Here is a 17,285-nt window from a genome sequence, read left to right as displayed (position 1 = left end):
TGGTAAGTACCAGGTCTGTGCTTTCATAAGGTTTCTTAAAATTGGGTTCTCACAGTTCCCTGGTGGAAGATACAGACTTGGCGTCAACCACTTTTTGTTTGATGAGTGTGACCCTTTTCCATAGAAACTGAGTTACCATGTGCTTATTTCTTTGCAATTAAAAGGCCACTAGGACCCTTTACAGTTCTTTTACTTCCCATTCAGAAATGAGCACTTTGATTACTTGTAGAAGAACAAATTCCATTTCCAAATAAATCTGAAATAAGATACTTTAGCACCTAGTGAGGTATGTCAGGTTTTATGAAGCTACTGTTTCCTCCCAGTTTCTATAACCTATTTCTTTCTGCTAATCTGTTTAGACTGTAGGCATTGTTCAGGTACTAATAGAAAGTTGTCATCTATGTGTTTGGTTTCCTTATATGAACAGTTAAAAGGATGGAGAGGTGGATAGAGAACAAGATTCCCCATTGACACCCATAACAAGAAACATCTAAATTCTACATATAACCACAAAAAGACTATTTGAAATTAGTTCAGATAATGTATTTTCTCATGATTTGAATTGAATGTTATAGAGAAGAGAAAGGCCAGGTGCAGTGGTTCACACCTGTAATCCCAGCACTTTGGGAAGCCGAGGTGGGTGGATCACCTGAGGTCAGGAGTTCCAGACCAGCCTGGTCAACATGGTGAAACCTCGTTTCTACTGTGAAACCTCTGCCTCCTGTAGCCAGGCATGGTGGTGGGCGCCTATAATCCCAGCTCCTTGGGAGGCTGAGGCAGGAGAGTCGTTTGAACTCAGGAGGCAGAGGTTGCAGTGTGCCGAGATTGCACCACTGCACTCCAGCCTGGGCGACAAAGCAAGACCTTGTCTCAAAAAAAAAATAAAAGGCTGGGCGCTGTGGCTCACGCCTATAATCCCAGCACTTTGGGATGCCAAGGCGGGTGGATCACCTGAGGTCAGGAGTTCAAGACCAGCCTGGCCAACATGGTGAAACCCCATCTCTACCAAAAATACAAAATCACCTGGCTGTGGTGGCACACACCTGTAGTCCCAGCTACTTGGGAGGCTGAGACAGGAGAATTGCTTAAAACTGGAAGGCAGAGGCTGCAGTGTGTGGAGATCATGCCACTGCACTCCAGCCTGGGCAAGACAGAGACTCCGTCTCAAAAAAATAAATAAATGATAAAAATACAAAAATTAGCTGGGCGTGGTACTGCATGCCTGTAATCCCAGCTACTCTGGAGGCTGAGGCAGGAGAATCACTGGAACCCAGGAGACGGAGGTTGCAGTGACCCAAGATCACGCCACTGTACTCTAGCCTGGGTGACAGTGAGTAAGACCCTGTCTCAAAAAAAGAAAAAACTAAAACCAAGGCAATGTCTATAGTGTCACTTAGGACTATAGTAGTAGATTCAACCCCAGAAAAGTTCTAGAAAAGTAGCATCTTGGTAGCTTGGAAAATTCAGGCATAAGCAAATGGCAAGCAATTTGGCTAGACCTTGAGTCTGGAGGACCCAGCTTAAATGGGAATAAATTGTAGGTGGCTACAAAAGAAGAGCGAATTGTCCTTCTTGTCACTGAAATGAAAATACAAAATATTACAGAGCCAAGCATAAAGCAGGCAGTCAATACATTTTTTATCTCTTCCTTCTCCTCTCCCTCTATCCAGAGATAAGTGAAGACAGCAGAGTTGGCCCAAGTAGGATGAAGAAAGAAAAGGGGCTTCATACCATTCCTGTCTTGTCCATCTCACCCCCAGCCCACTCCCACCTGCAGTTCTCAGGAATTGGCTCGGGAACTGCACTATGAACCAAGATGAGATGAGCAAGAAAAGTAGCTCCCGTTCCTTGCCTTTATCCTCAACCCCAGACATTAAAGGATAGCTGAGAGGAAAGAATTTGCAGGAGGAGGTGGCTACATTTTAAAGTGTTCGATTGTTTATTTTTCTGCATTTTAGTTTCATACTTGTTTTACTAATAATTACAGAAAGATTTTGCTATGTACGTAAAATATTTATATTGAAAGTGAATATTTTAAGGTTTAGATATGATTTTCTTTCATTCGCAAAGCCTATGATATAAGCACAGTATGAAAATAACCTGTAATAAAATAAACAAAAAATACGTTTCTTTTTTCTTTTATGTCCTTATGTGCTAGTTTTTTTAAAAGGACTTTTCACCTAATCATGCCACCTCCTTTTGTCCTACTTCTTTCTTGTTTTATAGTTGCTTTCATTTTCTCAGTATCTGCTTCCTTCATAACATGACATAATCTGAGTTTTACCTTACTATTCCACTGAACAGTGTTTTAATTGAAAGGAATTTACAGATTATCTGATTCAAACTTTTCATTTTTTTCAAATAAGAAAACCTCAGCAGCTTTAAGTAGCTTAGATAAGGCAGAGACAAGGACTTAGCACACAAGCTGCCATTTACCATTCTCTGCCCATGGCAGACATTGATAATCGATTTTGTACTCGGTAACTCGCAATGAGCTTTATGAGTCCTTCTCAGAGCTCTGTAGGCAGCCGATGCTGTCACTCAGAATTAATATGAGATCTGAAATCTATGCCATCCCTGGCCCATAATCACACATAAAGCCATGAACACTTAGCCAAAAACACTAAATCAAGAGCAGCTATAAGGGATTGTATTTGACTGGAAGCCAAATAAGTAGAATAAACAGTAAAGGAGAAAAGCAAAGGCTCCCTGCTGTTGAACTAGGGCTTGGAATGTGAATAAAATTTAAATAGGCAGACAGTAAGGAGGAGAGAATTCTTTGAGGAAAAACCATGTGAGCAAAGGCAGAGGCTGCTCAGGGCCAAGCATGACAGTTTGGCTAGGGGAGCTGCTTCAGATTGGAAAGCTGTTGGTAAGATTAATTGGGGTCAGTAGTAGGAGATCTTAAGAGCTCAACTAAGAAATTGAAATTTTATCCTATGGATTAAAATCATGAAAGTTTTTGAGCAAGGAGATGATTTGACAAAATTATCATTTTAAGCAGAATTATTCATCGATAACATGCAGGAAGGATTGACAGGGAGAATAATACAGCGTGTTAGGAAGCAGATTTGTTTCCAGGCCTAAGGAGATAGGGGTTGGTACTAAGGGAGTACAAATGGGAAACAAAAAAGACAGGAAATATCAAAGATGTCATTAAAAATAAAAATTAAAGAGGACATAGAATTTTATGGCCACATGGAGAGGACAGTGGAAGAAAAATAATTTCTCTTTCATGAGGTAAATGGTGGTACCTCCGAACTAAATAAAGAAAAGGAGAATGAGCTCGTTTTGGAGGAAAGATATTCCCTCTTTAGATATGTACAACTTGGGATGGCTTTGGCATATTTTTTATCTTGCAAGGAAAATGAAGCACACTCCATTGTTGTCTATCTCAGAACTACCTTAATTTTCTGTAAGTACCAGGAAACATCTGTGGTTTTGAAGTTTAGCTTTGACATCATACGTCAAGCTCTGTGAAGTTACCACTCTGATCATTTGGGTGATTTCTTGATACTCTAGGACTTTTGAATCTAGTCATTTAGCAAGTTGGTTTTGGTTTTTTCTTCTTTACAAAATATTTTTATTTTTGTTACCCTTATGTTTATGGTTTAGATTTCTTTGGCCTTATCAAGCTTTTCTTATTTTGTCTTCAACAAAGTTAAATCCAGCATATAAAACAAGATTTCTACAAACTGGGTATCTTTTTAATACTTTGTTTCCAAAGGATGCAAGGTGTTGTAAACCGACTGTCCAAGTTACTGAAACCTGGGGGAATGCTGTTATTTCGAGACTATGGAAGATATGATAAGACTCAGCTTCGTTTTAAAAAGGGTAATAGTATATTCAGTTTGAGGTTATTTTTAAATGTTCTAAAGAATGCCTTGTTTATATTTCACATCAAAGTATTTAGTTGTTTTTTTTTAAAGGAATACCCTTAAGAGTTTCTCTTTTCACAATTTTTTTCAGGACATTGTTTATCTGAAAATTTTTATGTTCGAGGAGATGGTACCAGAGCATATTTCTTTACAAAAGGTATGCTAATCTACAAAAGGAAATAATTGGTCATAATCGTTCTTGTTAGTTATTATCTCATTGATTATAGCTCAGAAGCTATGAAACTGAGGCTTCAGTCATTGATTAAGCATTAGATGTCTTCATACTTTGATGCTTATTACTGGTCTACATAAAAGGTTGAAAATGGCCGTTTACTGTTTAATCTTTTTCCAGTTAAACTGCTTTAAAGTCTCTTGTTTTACCCTCATACCCAGATGAAGGTGAAGGCTGTTCCATTTTGGAGATATTGTTAGCCTAGATATGAAAAAAATTGATGATAGCCACAGCCAAAGGAGGACATTTGATAAGTTTATAGAAAATTACTTATCTTGGCCTGTCACAGGGGTGCTCACCTGTAATCCCATCACTTTGGGAGATGAAGGTGAGAAGATTGCTTGAAGCCAGGAATTTGAGACCAGCCTAGAAAACAAAATGAGACTCTGTCTCTACAAAACAATTTTTTTTTAATTAGCTGGTCTGGTGGTGCATACCTGTAGTCCTAGCTACTTGGGAGGCTAAGGTGGAAGGATCACTTGAGCTGGGGCAGATGAGGCTACAGTGAGCTATGATTGGACCACTGTGCTCCAGCCTGGGCAGCAGAGTGAATCTTATGTCTAAAAAAACAATACATTTTCAAAATAGAAAGAAGGAAAATTACTTATCTCTAGCTGATTTCTCTTTTTTTTTTTTTTTTTTTTGAGACAGAGTCTCACTCTGTTGCCTAGGCTGGAGTGCAGTGGCACAATCTCAGCTCACTGCCATCTCCACCTCGCCGGTTCAAACGATTCTCCCACCTCAGCCTCCCAAGTAGCTGGGATTACAGCCTCCCAAGTAGCTGAGATTACCTACCTCCACGCCTAGGTAATTTTTGTATTTTTATTAGAGAAGGGGTTTCACCATTTGACCAGGCTGGTCTCAAACTCCTGACCTCAAGTGATTCACCCTGGCCAGGCTGGTCTTGAACTCCTGACCTCAGGTGATTTGCCTGCTTCAGCCTCCAAAAGTGCTGGGATTACAGGCGTGAGCCACCATGCCCAACCAATTTCACATTTTTAAAAATGCATTTCTAACAGTACCAAGTGAATGCTGCATTCAAGGATTTCCCCAAATTTATGTGAGTACTTTTATAATCTGCCGTTTTGGGTTTCTGTAAACCAACAAAAACTCAGAAAGGGAGCACCTTTCAAAATATTGAAAGCTGCAACCAATAGTTTTATATATCTGTTGATGTCTGCCGTGTTAGTCTGTAAACAGGTGTATTTTTATATGCATGGTGTATTTTTGTGAAATAGAAGAAACTCGCTTGGTTTCACAGGTTTCCTTCACCAAATTGTTCTAGAGAGTGTTTCTTGTATAAATGAAATTTAGATGGTCAGTTATTCCATCAGTGTTCTACTCCTGACCTCCCCCATCTCTAGTCACATGTCATATCTTTTATTGCCATTTTTGTCTCACAGGGGAAGTCCACAGTATGTTCTGCAAAGCCAGTTTAGATGAAAAGCAAAATCTGGTTGATCGCCGCTTACAAGTTAATAGGAAAAAACAAGTGAAAATGCACCGAGTGTGGATTCAAGGCAAATTCCAGAAACCATTGCACCAGACTCAGAATAGCTCCAATATGGTATCTACACTCCTTTCACAAGACTGAACTTTGTAACATGTTAAGGTACAAAGCCAGAGGACTGTGCTATTCAAGGACTACTGTAAGTCTATTGTTTCTCAAAAGACAATGAGAAAAAAAGAAGAGAATTTGTATTTCCTGCCGTTTTGTCATAGGTGAGCTCCTTTGTGCATTTTAAGCACATGTAAGTGGTTCAGCACAGTATGCCTTTTTCTGTGCTTTGAAAACTTGATATGCTCAAGCTTGTTTGAATTTATTACATCTAACCATTTTGCTTGTTCCTTGATTTTTATAAGCATTCAATTAAGTTAGTATTATGTCAAGTAATTTTGAGAAAATGTAACTTGACATTTTTTGCAAGTAAAAAAAATTGTTTATTTGTTTAGGCTTAGTAAACCAGTTCCCAAACACAGTCAGACTCTTCCCATTGTCATCTGATTGCAGAGAGAAAGCACACCTTATTTCCAGGGAAAGCTACAACAAGCCCAAGGTCAAAGTGTATTATTTTTTGTCTTGTTGTTGTCTATTTTCTCCCAATTTTTTTTTGAAATTCAGAGGCTCATATCTGAAATAGAATTTTAGTTCCTCTTTCCTTTCCTAAAATTGGGGAAGTACAGCCCATGCTGACATTATTTTCAGGCTATTCTTAGATATACAAGTTGTTAGGCCAGGTGCAATGGCTCGCACCTGTAATCCCAGCACTTTGGGGGGCTGAGGCAGGCAGATCGGTTGAGCTCAGGAGTTCAAGACCAGCCTGGACAACATGGCAAAACCCTGTCTCTCCCAAGAATACAAAAATTAGCCAGGCATGGTGGCACACACCTGTGGTCCCAGCTACTCAGGAGACTGAGGTGGGAGGATCGCTTGAGCCTCGGAGGCGGAGGTTGCAGTGAGCTGAGATTGTACCACTGCGCTCCAAACTGGGTGACATGGTGAGACCTTGTCTCCAAAAAAAAAAAAAAAAAAAAAAAAGGTATGTAAGCTGACAAGCTCTTGTATCAAGGGCTTTTGAACCAGAGCAACTTCATCTTGAATAGGGACTGTGTAAAATGAAGCTGAGACCTACTAGGCTGCAATCCCAGGAGGTTAAGACATTCTTAGTCACAGGATGAGATAGGAAGTCAGTACAAGATACAGGTCATACAGACCTTGCTGATAAAACAGGTTGCAGTGAAGAAGCCGGCCAAATGCCACCAAAACCAAGATGGCAATGAGAGTGTCCTCTGGCTGTCCTCACTGCTACACTCCCACCAGTGCCATGATAGTTTACAAATGCCATGGCAACATCAGGAAGTTACCCATATGGTCTACAAAGGGGAGGCCTGAATAATCCACCCCTTGTGTAGCATATAATCAAGAAATAACCTTAAAAATGGGCAACCAGTAGCCCTTGGGGCTGCTCTGCCTATGGAGTAGCCATTCTTTATGTTTTACTTTTTTTTTTTTTTTTTTTTTGAGATGGAGTCTTGCTCTGGCACCCAGGCTGGAGTGCAGTGGCGTGATCTCAGCTCACTGCCAGCTCCACCTCCCGGGTTCACGCCATTCTCTTGCTTCAGCCTCCTGAGTAGCTGGGACTACAAGCACCCACCACCATGCCCAGCTAATTTTTTTTTTTTTTGTATTTTTAGTAGAGACGGGGTTTCACCATGTTAGCCAGGATGGTCTCAATCTCCTGACCTTGTGATCCGCCCGCCTCGGCCTCCCAAAGTGCTGGGATTACAGGTGTGAGCCACCGCGCCCAGCCTATTCTTTACTTAAACTTGTTTTCACTTTGCTGTATGGACTCAATTCTTTCTTGCACAAGATCCAAGAATCCTCTCTTGGCGTCTGGATCCAGACCCTTTCTGGTATCAGTGGTAAGCTCTGTTTAAGACAACTGTCATACCCAAGAGAATTCTTAAATTGTGGCAGTTAAAAATGTATTTATCCCCTCGAGGGCCGGGCGCAGTCGCTCAAGCCCGTAATCCCAGCACTTTGGGAGGCCGAGGAGGCGGATCATGAGGTCAGGAGTTCAAGACCAGCCTGACCAACACTGTGAAACCCTGTCTCTACTAAAAATACAAAAAAAATTAGCCAGGCGTGGTGGTGGGCACCTGTAATCCCAGCTACTCGGGAGGCTGAGGCAGGAGAATCACTTGAACCCGGGAGGCAGAGGTTGCAGTGAGCCGAGATGACACCACTGCCCTCCAGCCTGGGTGACAGTTGTTAGACTGCGTATCAAAAAAAAAAAAAAAAATTTATTTACTCCCTTGCTTCAAAAAGGACATAAGTTGGCTTGCAAATCACATTTTGTAGAAATGAAGTTTTTAAGATTAGTCTCATACTCATTACATAATATTTATTGACTACTTACATATTGAGTGCTAAATTCAGTGGAATAATATGAACAATAAAGACCCAGCCTTGTTTATGCTCTTCAGGGAGCATAAATAGAGTACAGCTGGCAAAACAAAATGTGCATATCCCAAACCTGTAAATCATGATCTAAGACAATATACAAACACTCAAATAGGGAACTTACCAGCTAGCAGACTTTGATTATGAACCACAGAACCTAGAATAAATAAATACTCTCTTGAAAGAACCATCATTGGAATAATTAAGTTCCAACTGTTTTTTCTTTCTGAATTCACTTAAAATCCAATTTCTAGAAGAATATCATTGGTCCAGCTTTAGTCATTGGTTCATCTCTTAACAGGCTGGGGCAGGGCAGCTTAATTGATGATGCCACCAGAATGGGCAACATGGGAAAAACCCTATCTCTACCAAAAATACAAAAATTAGCCAGTGATGGTGGCACGCACCTGTTGTCCCAGCTACTCAGGAGGCTGAGCTGGGAGGATCTTTTGAGCCTGGGAGGCAGAGGTTGCAGTGAGCTGAGATCGCACCACTGCACTCCAACCTGGAGTGGAAGGAAATTTCACTTCCTGGAATGGAAGAAAGTTCTTCAAAGGAAAATCAAGACACTGCTGTCAAAAAACACCAGGGGAGGGATGCTGTCCAGTCACAGCCAACACATCATATAGCAGTGGTAGCAGTAGTAATAGTATTTCCAGAGAGAGAGAGAGAGATTAGCTCTGAAAAAGAATGGAGAAGAATCAGGTTTCTTGGGGGAGGTAGGTCTCAGGCTAGTTCTTGAATGTACATTCTCAGCAGATGGTGAGAAGACAAGTGTGGTGTGGGACATTAATGATGAGGGATAGGTAGAAAAGATGGGAAGGGGGTCAGCTTGTAGATAACCTAGACTAGCAGGTGTATGACTTCTAGTCTCTGAACTGGAGCCATCTGAGATCAGTTTGAGATATGGTGTCTTATAAATGTATTGAGAGAGGTTGAGGAGTTGTCTATAGAATGGAATGGAGTGAGGTCAGAGATCAGTGGCAAGGAAGACCACATAAAGGTTTTTGCACAAACTTGCCTTGATGGCAAGTCCTCAAAAGTACAATTATCAAGCTTTCTGTTTAAACATGCATAAGTCAGTAAATATAAACATTAAAATTTGCCCAAGACTCTTAACTCAGTTGTATTTCATAATTAAAGTGTACATTAAAAAGCCAAACTAGTCATGAAAGTATTACATACAGCAAGGGCAGTTTAGATAAGTTAATGTTGCTATGGGAACCCCAGCAGATCTCCTTGTGTCTCCGTTTAAAAATCATGGCCCAAGGTGGTTTCAAAAACAACAGAAGGTAAAATTATTCTCACATTCTCACACATGTAAATTGTACTGTCTCTCTCAGTTCTAAATAGCGGATTCAAGCCAGCCTCTTGACTGGCACAGTAAAATTCGGCTTCGTGTCTTTCTATAATGTATTACAGCATGTGAGTTAACCTTTAGAAGCTTCAAAAATACATCAACCAAATTTGGACTGTGAGACACAAACTGGTCTCTTTTGGGCTCTGTCCAGCATAGCCTTCCTATTCCACATGGCTGCGCAGCAGGGCCATTTCCACCAGTGTCTTCTGCTTGCCTGGTCAGTCTTTCTGTCTCTTAACCTACCTACAACAACTTCCTTCTCGGGGTTTGCTGCTAGATAGAAATGTAGATTTTGGCACAGAAAGAAAAGGGAAAGACCTATTTGGAATTTTGTCTATAGATGTTAAGAAATCATGAAGCGTTGCAAATGTAACTGCTTGGGTATTAGTTTAAAATATTTGATAACTGCATGAAATTCTAATTTACCCCTCACATCCATAAAGCTAGGACCAGTTGGTTAGGCAGAGTTTGATATTTAAAAATTCATCTTCTGAGAGAGCTGAATTTCAAAAGGACCATTTTCTTTCCAGGAGTAAAAGGTATATTCTTTCATCTTCTTACAGTACAGAAACAATGGAATATATTGTTTAAATGCACCCTTCATTTTTTTCTCCATTTCTAAAAATTCACTTTTGAGCATCGTCCAAATGTAAAAATTCTCACACATGAGGAACTGTTTCCGAAGGTTGTGAGAAAGTCAAGATAACAGTTTCTATTATTAAAAGTTTTGCATTCGGTATGACACATTTGCCTGTATTGAAACACCCATTTAACATTGACTTCTGAGAACTTATTTGCTTTGCCTCTCTCGATTCCATATGCTTTGTCTACAAATTGTGAACACGTCCCGGTTTCTACCCGTGTGTGATTCTAAGTCGTTGCTGTACTCTAGCTTGTACGTGAAAATTCACCCATATGCAGATAGCTGCCCTCTTGGAGGCAAAACTTAAAGCTATCAGAACCATCTGGATTGTTAAACCCCAAAACTTCCAACTCATCAAAGTCCTGAAGCCTGAATAGATCACACATTGTTACTTCTAATTGGTTTTGATGTTTGTTATGCTCCTCACAAGTGCAGATAACTTCACATTTGCATCACTAATCGACCTCTTTCAAAGCCTCTGCTCCTCCTGCTTCCTGCCTCTGTTAGTCATCAGGAGACTTAGTGTTGGCGTGGGTATTTTCCCCGCTTGTGAAAGTGCATTGTCAATTCTAGAGCATTAAATATATGTGAGGTATTGTTATTAATCTACAAGGCAGTACACACAGTATTCCAGCAACAGTGACTTTTTCAAAGGTTTTATGAGACATTGTAAGAAAGACAGTATCTTTCCATGGAAAAAAGTGTTGCCTCAGAGTCAAACAGGAAGCATGGGTCCTAGTTCCTATTGAACTGCTTAGCTACTCTTAATTTAGCTCTGAATGCTAGATTTTGTGTATACTATACACATTATTTAATCCTCAAACTCCTAGGAATTCATTTTGATGATAACCATTTACAGAAGAGATGTTGGGTAACTTGCTCAGGATACCACATCTAGTAAGTAGCAGAGTCACAACTCGGACCCAGAACTCTCTGATTCCAAAACCTCTACTTGCTGCTCTTGTAATGGATGGGCCCAAATGCTGCTGGGAAAGGCACCAGGGAAGAAAGAGCTTTCTGAGTCAAGCAGAAAACGATAGCAGTGGAGAGGAGTTTGTTTCAGACGACCTTCAAGGTTATGGCTCATTCTAGATCCAATCATTCTAGCAAATAAGTAGGTTACACTTGTCCACAATTACAAATTGGAAAAGAAGAGAAGGAAAGGAACTGAGAGGAATGACAAAGCAAAAAGCTTTCAATCAGTTCTTTTCAGCATTCTGCTTCTGCCTAGTTCTGCACTCGCCCCACCCCCTCAGGCTTCAGCCTTCCACTTGGCATCCCTCCTCGCAGAGCACTCTCACTTGCATACTCCTCGCTTAAAGAAAAAAAGCATTCTGTACTGCAGTGGGGAAAAAAAACCCTTAAAATGTCTTCAAAAGGATTCAGCTCTAGGGTAATGTAAAATATGTGAAATCAGGAGGTGTCCATAATAAAATATGAGTGAAAACATCGTTATTTAAAACATTGTATGTACATTAATGCCACATTAATACCAATTCAGGCATGAAATGTTGAGCATTTCTTGGAATACGGTTTCTTGGAATATGGTTGGGGATTTGAGAGGCGCAAAGGTACCCGCAAGATGGCTTTGGTGTAGTTATAAATATAAATAGAAGTAAAATAACAGTTGCATCTTCATTTATAATGAATCTATATTGTGGCCTCAAAGCTACAGAGAAAAGTGGATGCCAAAATCTGTCTTTCATTAACATATGTCTTAAATGACAAGGAAGAGGTGTTGAAGATAAAATTACTTTTTCCTATGAGTATGAATCAGCAACATGCAGTAACAAGCAAGTAATAATAGTTCTGCGTGTGAGTGCCTACAGAGGGTAAGAAAAATAGCATCAGATTGAAAAAGCAAGTGCACCTGCAGAAGGGACCCAGGAGGCTGCAGAGCACAGCTCCCTTGAGCATCATCTCAAAGTGTCTCAGAGCACAGTGACCCTAATTCTGGCAAGTCAGGTTGGCATGAGATGGATGGAGCACACTGAAATCTCCAGATGGTCAGACAGCCCACCCTCAGCTGCCCCTGGAGCTCGGCAAAGGCAAGCTACAAGGCACTGCTACTTGGCCAAGAGTTTAAAACAACAGCTTCTGATTCTACAGTGTCTGTGGTTTCACAACCACTTAACCTTAAGTAAGGAACAGCTAGAGTTAGCTGAATGAATAAATACACGTTAACGTTACATAAAGAGGGAAAAAAAGCAATACTTGAGCACATAGACTTCAAATAGTGTCCAGCTAGCTGTGTCCTTGGCATCCCAGTGATCTGGGTCTTTATCTTTGATTTTCTCCAGCAGGTAGGCACTGAGTAGATCCAGGGCCCAGGGCGGGAAATGCTTCTGTATCAGATGTTACCTATCAAATAAAATGAGCCTTTGATTGCCTCCTAAAGCTCCAGCATCGTCTTTCCTAGTTGGGCTGATGAGGTTTGGTCCAGAAAAATGGAATTTTGTTATGCTTATAAAAATTATTTGGCCAAATATTTTCAATCCATTGCTCCTAGTTCATTGCAGAAAACGCAGAAATTAATTTTTTCCTCAGTTAACCTTTATATATCAAGTGTTGGTTGTTTCAAAAAACACTGGAGGACAGTCACCCTTTGGGCTTTTAAGGCTTTTCCGCTGGAAGCAAGCACTAAACCTGTGTGACTTCCTAAAATTAGCAATGAGCCCGCTGCTGAGTCCACTGCATTAGTGGGGCTTTTTTGTTTTTTGTTTTTAATGCTCTGTACTTAGCACAAGCAACACTATGTAATTGCTGCCTCATTTCTCTCACCTTCTGCCTCCTGAGAGCAACTTGTGTTCCTCCTGAGGCAGTCCTGCTAAACAGAATGCTTGGCGTAAAGAATGCGATCGCTCTCCTTACATCTTTAGTTGTGCCCTGCTCCCTCAGGTGAGCAGAGACATATCCCCCTAAGCAGCATTTGGCACTCGCACTGAAAATTGCCTGAAAGAGAATGGCTGAAATTGCCAGTATCACATGCTGCATTGAAACAAGAAAGAAATTTCTGCCTCCAAGGATAATTGCTTTTCTCATTGCTCATACTTTTTCTTTCGCAGCCCTCATTTATTTTAATATTTATATCTTTACTTTGACTTTCTACAAGATATTTTTTAAGTTTCTTTTTAATCCAAATGAAAGATGAAATTCAGGATCCCAAAAAGCAAGGAAGATCTATCCTTTCCATGAATATATTCTTAATCCACCACTCTCTGAGATGTCTCTTCATTTGCAGCTTTGTTTCTTAATAGAACACCTGGGCTCTGGAGATTAGTGAGACAAAGCTTCATTATAATCTTCCTTGTTTTACTCACATTTCTTCCATGCTTTCTCTCCCTAACTCACTCTCCAGGTGCTTCTTTCTCTTGCCAAATAGTGCAAGGAAATACTTTTGCAGATCTTTTGTTTACTTTAGGAAAAAACCATGGATCCAGGCTTCCCCATTCAGCACTGCTGCTCATTTCCTGACTGGCCTTTACAGTTTGGCTCAGTAGCAACTTGGGGACTTGTTTTCTACCCACAGGAAAGGAGCTGGGTGCCCGGCAGCCCCATGCCGGCATGAGAATTAAGTCCTGCTCATTCCCTGGATAAGCAAGCTGACGTTTTCCTCATAGATTTTCTTTTCCATTTCTCAAAGCTTTATTGCATACTCATTTAGCTTTGACTTTTAAAAAGACATTTTAATAGTGTTGTTTTTCCTCCAAGCATGTGCAAAAGCTGATCATGTGCACGAGGAAGCTCTCGAGAATAAAGAATTACCTCTTTGCTGTTTTTCACCTACTACGTCACACACTACACAACACACCCAGGGCTTACCCCTACTCCAGTGTCATTGGCAAGTGCCTGGCCTGGTATAGGAGGAACTGTGACACCAGAGGAATTTGGCTTGGGTTACCTCACTTTCTAGGTTCCCAAGATTCCCAAGTTAAGGAAGCTTTGGTTATTACATAGTTGAACATTTTCTTATTTCATGTAAGTTTTGTAAATCTTCTGTGATTTCTTCTCCTCTTTGGCACATTTACATTAAATTTTATTCTAGTTATGTAACTGTATAGTATAATTATGTTTATATATGGATATAAATTGCTCTGTTCATCCTACTTTGGGGAATTTATTCATAGTTTGCTATGAGGTCAGTAACTTTCCGAAGAGACAGGCTTTCTAAACTTGAAGCCTATACTTTTATATATTAATGCATTTTTTTTTACATTAGAAGATAGTTAACCTAAGAAAGTTGAATGATAAGTAGAATGAAAGTAGAAAGCACTGACTGACAAAACAAAGATCTTCAGTACATCAGGGATGAGTGTTGTCTTTCTTAAGGACTTAATCTGTAATATAAAATGTCAAATCAAATACCATATTCGGCCAGGCGCAGTGGCTCACGCCTGTAATCTCAACACTTTGGGAGGCCGAGGCGGGTGGATCACCTGAGGTCAGGAGTTCGAGCCCAGCATGGACAACATGGTGAAACCCATCTCTAATTGTGCAAGGAAATTAGCTGGGCATGGTGGCGTGCACCTGTAATCCCAGCTACTCAGGAGGCTGAGGCAAGAGAATCGCTTGAACCCAGGAGGCAGAGGTTGCAGTGAGCCGAGGTCATGCCACCACACTCCAGCCTGGGCAACAAGAACGAAACTCCATCTCAAAAAAAAAACAAAAAAAAAAAAAACCAGAACAACAAATACCATATTCATGGTGGTACAGACAAAGACTAAGCTATTGGCATAGACAAGGTCCAATTGAGGAAGCACACTCTGTCACTGGTGATGAGGAATCCAGAGTTGGTCATTCCCCTAAAGCTCAGTCAGGAGCAGTCACCTGCAGGGAAGGCTACCAGCAGAAGCCAGCAGCACTGTGACCTTATGGAAAGTGGACAGTGTTCACAGGCACATTAGGTAAATACTGCTTCAGTGACCCAAAGAAAAATGCAAAATCACAGAAGATTGTAGCAAGAGTGACTTATGACTGAATCTCAGAGAACTGAACTGTAGGCTTAACTATCCCCTGCCTGAGCTCAGAGAAAGAACCCAAGAAAGAGCCCTAGCTGAGCTTTGGAAATAGGAAAGCTAGAGGCCAGGAGCTTTTTTCTGCTTACCTGAAACACCATTTCAGGTGTTTTTGTAGCACAGAAATGGCTACTAAAAGTATTAGGGTGCAGAAAACAATGGTCCAAATGATGGTGCTTCAGCATGCTGAGCACACTGAACTAAAGGAAATTAAAAGGCCATCAAAGCTGCCTCAGAACCAAGGAGTCGGCCAGGCGTGGTGGCTCATGCCTGTAATCCCAGCACTTTGGGAGGCGAGTTGGGCAGATCACTTGAGGTCAGGACTTCGAGACCAGCCTGACCAACATGTAGAAATCCCATCTCTACTAAAAATGCAAAATTAGCCAGGTGTGGTGGCGCATGCCTGTGATGCCAGCTACTCAGGAGGCTGAGGCAGGAGAATTGCTTGAACCCAGGAGGTAGAGGTTGCAGTGAGTCGAGATCACGCCATTGCACTCCAGCCTGGGCAACAAGAGTGAAACTCCATCTCAAAAAAAAAACAAAAAACAAGTACTCTTGGTTTCTCCACCCCACATCAAGCACAGGAAGGGGTTCTCTGTGGAAGTTTCCTTATCTGACTGAGTAGACTTCTTCCAAAAGAAATGCTGTTGGCCTAAAACCGCCTCCCTAGGAAATCTCATTCAATAACCAGGGAAGATTAACTACCATAAGAGATTAAAAGTCACCTAGCCCAGACCGACTTTTCATCTGTTTTTCTGAGGGCAGTTCGAAGAGGTTACCTGGGAGACCTTATCCACATAATAAGACAACCTTTGTTTACAATGAAGTTCTGCCTCTTGCCTTCCTAAAATTTGTTGCCACCTCTCACAGAGCACAAAAAACTTTGTCCCGGCCATTATCTGTTCTCTGGTCCCATTCAGTTTTCAAAGAGAATCATTTACAAACTACTCTCTGCTCTTTGGGTCCACTCAGTTCTCCTAAAAATCATTCACTGCCTGTGTTAGTTTGTTCTCACACTGCTAATAAAGACATACCCGGCCAGACATGGTCTGTCACACCTACAATCCCAGCATTTTGCAAGGCAGAGGCGGGCGGATCACCCGAGGTCAGGAATTTGAACCTCTACCTCCCGGGTTCAAGCAATTCTCCAGCCTCAGCCTCCCGAGTAGCTGGGATTACAGGCACCTGCCACCATGCTCGGCTAATTTTTATATTTTTAGTAGAGACAGGGTTTCACCATGTTGGCCAGGCTAGTCTCAAACTCCTGACCTCAGGTGATCCGCCCACCTCGGCCTCCCAAAGTGTTGGGATTACAGGCGTGAGCCACTGCACCCGGCCTGCAAGTTAGTTATTTTCTTTTTTTTCTTTTTTTTGAGATGGAGTCTTGCTCTGTTGGCCAGGCTGGAGTGCAATGGCGTGATCTCGGCTCACCACAACCTCCGCCTCCCAGGTTCAAGCAATTCTCCTGTCTCAGCCTCCCGAGTAGCTGAGATTACAGGCATGCACCACCACACCTGGCTAATTTTGTATTTTTTTAGTAGAGACAGGGTTTCTCCATGTTGATCAGGCTGGTCTCGAACTCCTGATCTTAGGTGATCCACCCGCCTCTGCCTCCCAAAGTGCTGGGATTACAGGCGTGAGCCACCGCGCCTGGCTAGTTAGTTATTTTCTAGATACAATGAGGGGTACAGGCATTGAGTAAATATACCCATTCCAAATGGGAGAAATTGGCCAAAACATAGGGGCTACAGGCCCCATGCAAGTCTAAAATCCAATGTGGCAGTCAAATCTTAAAGCTGCGAAATGATCTCCTTTAACTCCATATCTCACATTCAAGTCATCCTGATGGAAGGGGTAGGTTCCCATGGTCTTGAGCAGCTCTGCCCCTGTGGCTTTGCAGGGTACAGCCTCTCTCCCAGTTGTTTTCACGGGCTGGTGTTGAGTGTCTGTGGCTTTTCCAGGCGCACAGTGCAAGCTGTTGGTGGATCTATCATTCTGGGGTCTGGAGGATGGTGGTCCTCTTCTCCCAGCTCCACTAGGCAGTGTCCCAGTAGGGACTCTGTGTGGGGGCTCCCACTCCACATTTCCCTTCTGCACTGCCCTAGCAGAGGTTCTCCATGAGGGCTCTGCCCCTGCAGCACACCTCTGCCTGGACATCCAGGTGTGTCCATACATCCTCTGAAATCTAGGCAG

The 17,285-nt window shown here is 41.7% G+C and overlaps 1 protein-coding gene across 11 annotated transcripts in view, besides 11 other annotated features; it reads left to right on the top strand.

Annotated features, from left to right (window-relative positions):
* The window catches only part of METTL8 (methyltransferase 8, tRNA N3-cytidine), a 119,027-nt gene extending 104,897 nt beyond the window's left edge, over positions 1–14,130 (top strand). For 8 of the 11 annotated variants that reach the window (NR_135568.2, NM_001321158.2, NM_024770.5 and 5 more), the window contains 3 exons: positions 3,728–3,834; positions 3,970–4,035; positions 5,514–14,130. Coding sequence is in view for 10 of the 11 variants with exons in the window: in NM_001321158.2 (NP_001308087.1) it covers positions 3,728–3,834; positions 3,970–4,035; positions 5,514–5,704 (364 nt within the window). In the remaining variant the exon portion in view is untranslated. The remainder of the gene's footprint in view (positions 1–3,727; positions 3,835–3,969; positions 4,036–5,513) is intronic. The other 3 variants (NM_001321161.2, NM_001321162.2, NM_001321160.2) reach the window with 1 other exon arrangement.
* Positions 2,522–3,046: an enhancer, noted in NCBI's record as "OCT4-NANOG-H3K27ac hESC enhancer chr2:172183340-172183864 (GRCh37/hg19 assembly coordinates)". NCBI's record gives its function as "activates a minimal SCP1, AML or CMV promoter by ChIP-STARR-seq in primed H9 embryonic stem cells {active_cell/tissue: H9 hESC(primed)}" and the evidence as "EXISTENCE:reporter gene assay evidence [ECO:0000049][PMID:30033119]".
* Positions 3,541–3,590: an enhancer, noted in NCBI's record as "active region_16750". NCBI's record gives its function as "activates an Ori minimal core promoter by ATAC-STARR-seq in GM12878 lymphoblastoid cells {active_cell/tissue: GM12878}" and the evidence as "EXISTENCE:reporter gene assay evidence [ECO:0000049][PMID:35858748]".
* Positions 5,422–5,521: an enhancer, noted in NCBI's record as "active region_16749". NCBI's record gives its function as "activates an Ori minimal core promoter by ATAC-STARR-seq in GM12878 lymphoblastoid cells {active_cell/tissue: GM12878}" and the evidence as "EXISTENCE:reporter gene assay evidence [ECO:0000049][PMID:35858748]".
* Positions 5,603–5,897: a silencer, noted in NCBI's record as "tiled region #8774; K562 Repressive non-DNase unmatched - State 15:Elon". NCBI's record gives its function as "represses a minimal TATA promoter and a strong SV40 promoter by Sharpr-MPRA in K562 cells {active_cell/tissue: K562}" and the evidence as "EXISTENCE:reporter gene assay evidence [ECO:0000049][PMID:27701403]".
* Positions 9,709–9,758: an enhancer, noted in NCBI's record as "active region_16748". NCBI's record gives its function as "activates an Ori minimal core promoter by ATAC-STARR-seq in GM12878 lymphoblastoid cells {active_cell/tissue: GM12878}" and the evidence as "EXISTENCE:reporter gene assay evidence [ECO:0000049][PMID:35858748]".
* Positions 9,904–10,726: an enhancer, noted in NCBI's record as "OCT4-NANOG-H3K27ac-H3K4me1 hESC enhancer chr2:172175660-172176482 (GRCh37/hg19 assembly coordinates)". NCBI's record gives its function as "activates a minimal SCP1, AML or CMV promoter by ChIP-STARR-seq in naive and primed H9 embryonic stem cells {active_cell/tissue: H9 hESC(naive and primed)}" and the evidence as "EXISTENCE:reporter gene assay evidence [ECO:0000049][PMID:30033119]".
* Positions 11,205–11,304: an enhancer, noted in NCBI's record as "active region_16747". NCBI's record gives its function as "activates an Ori minimal core promoter by ATAC-STARR-seq in GM12878 lymphoblastoid cells {active_cell/tissue: GM12878}" and the evidence as "EXISTENCE:reporter gene assay evidence [ECO:0000049][PMID:35858748]".
* Positions 11,314–11,516: a silencer, noted in NCBI's record as "fragment chr2:172174870-172175072 (GRCh37/hg19 assembly coordinates)". NCBI's record gives its function as "represses an EF-1alpha promoter that drives an FKBP-Casp9 reporter gene in an ReSE screen in K562 erythroleukemia cells {active_cell/tissue: K562}" and the evidence as "EXISTENCE:reporter gene assay evidence [ECO:0000049][PMID:32094911]".
* Positions 12,032–12,091: an enhancer, noted in NCBI's record as "active region_16746". NCBI's record gives its function as "activates an Ori minimal core promoter by ATAC-STARR-seq in GM12878 lymphoblastoid cells {active_cell/tissue: GM12878}" and the evidence as "EXISTENCE:reporter gene assay evidence [ECO:0000049][PMID:35858748]".
* Positions 12,823–13,117: a silencer, noted in NCBI's record as "tiled region #707; HepG2 Repressive non-DNase unmatched - State 15:Elon, and K562 Repressive non-DNase unmatched - State 23:Low". NCBI's record gives its function as "represses a minimal TATA promoter and a strong SV40 promoter by Sharpr-MPRA in HepG2 and K562 cells {active_cell/tissue: HepG2 | K562}" and the evidence as "EXISTENCE:reporter gene assay evidence [ECO:0000049][PMID:27701403]".
* Positions 13,194–14,016: an enhancer, noted in NCBI's record as "OCT4-NANOG-H3K27ac hESC enhancer chr2:172172370-172173192 (GRCh37/hg19 assembly coordinates)". NCBI's record gives its function as "activates a minimal SCP1, AML or CMV promoter by ChIP-STARR-seq in primed H9 embryonic stem cells {active_cell/tissue: H9 hESC(primed)}" and the evidence as "EXISTENCE:reporter gene assay evidence [ECO:0000049][PMID:30033119]".
* Positions 14,131–17,285: the final 3,155 nt, after the last annotated feature.

Source organism: Homo sapiens, chromosome 2, assembly GCF_000001405.40.
Source record: "Homo sapiens chromosome 2, GRCh38.p14 Primary Assembly".
NCBI classification, from domain to species: Eukaryota; Metazoa; Chordata; class Mammalia; order Primates; family Hominidae; genus Homo; species Homo sapiens.
Note: the sequence above shows the minus strand (reverse complement) of the source record. Positions and strands in the feature narration are given on the sequence as shown.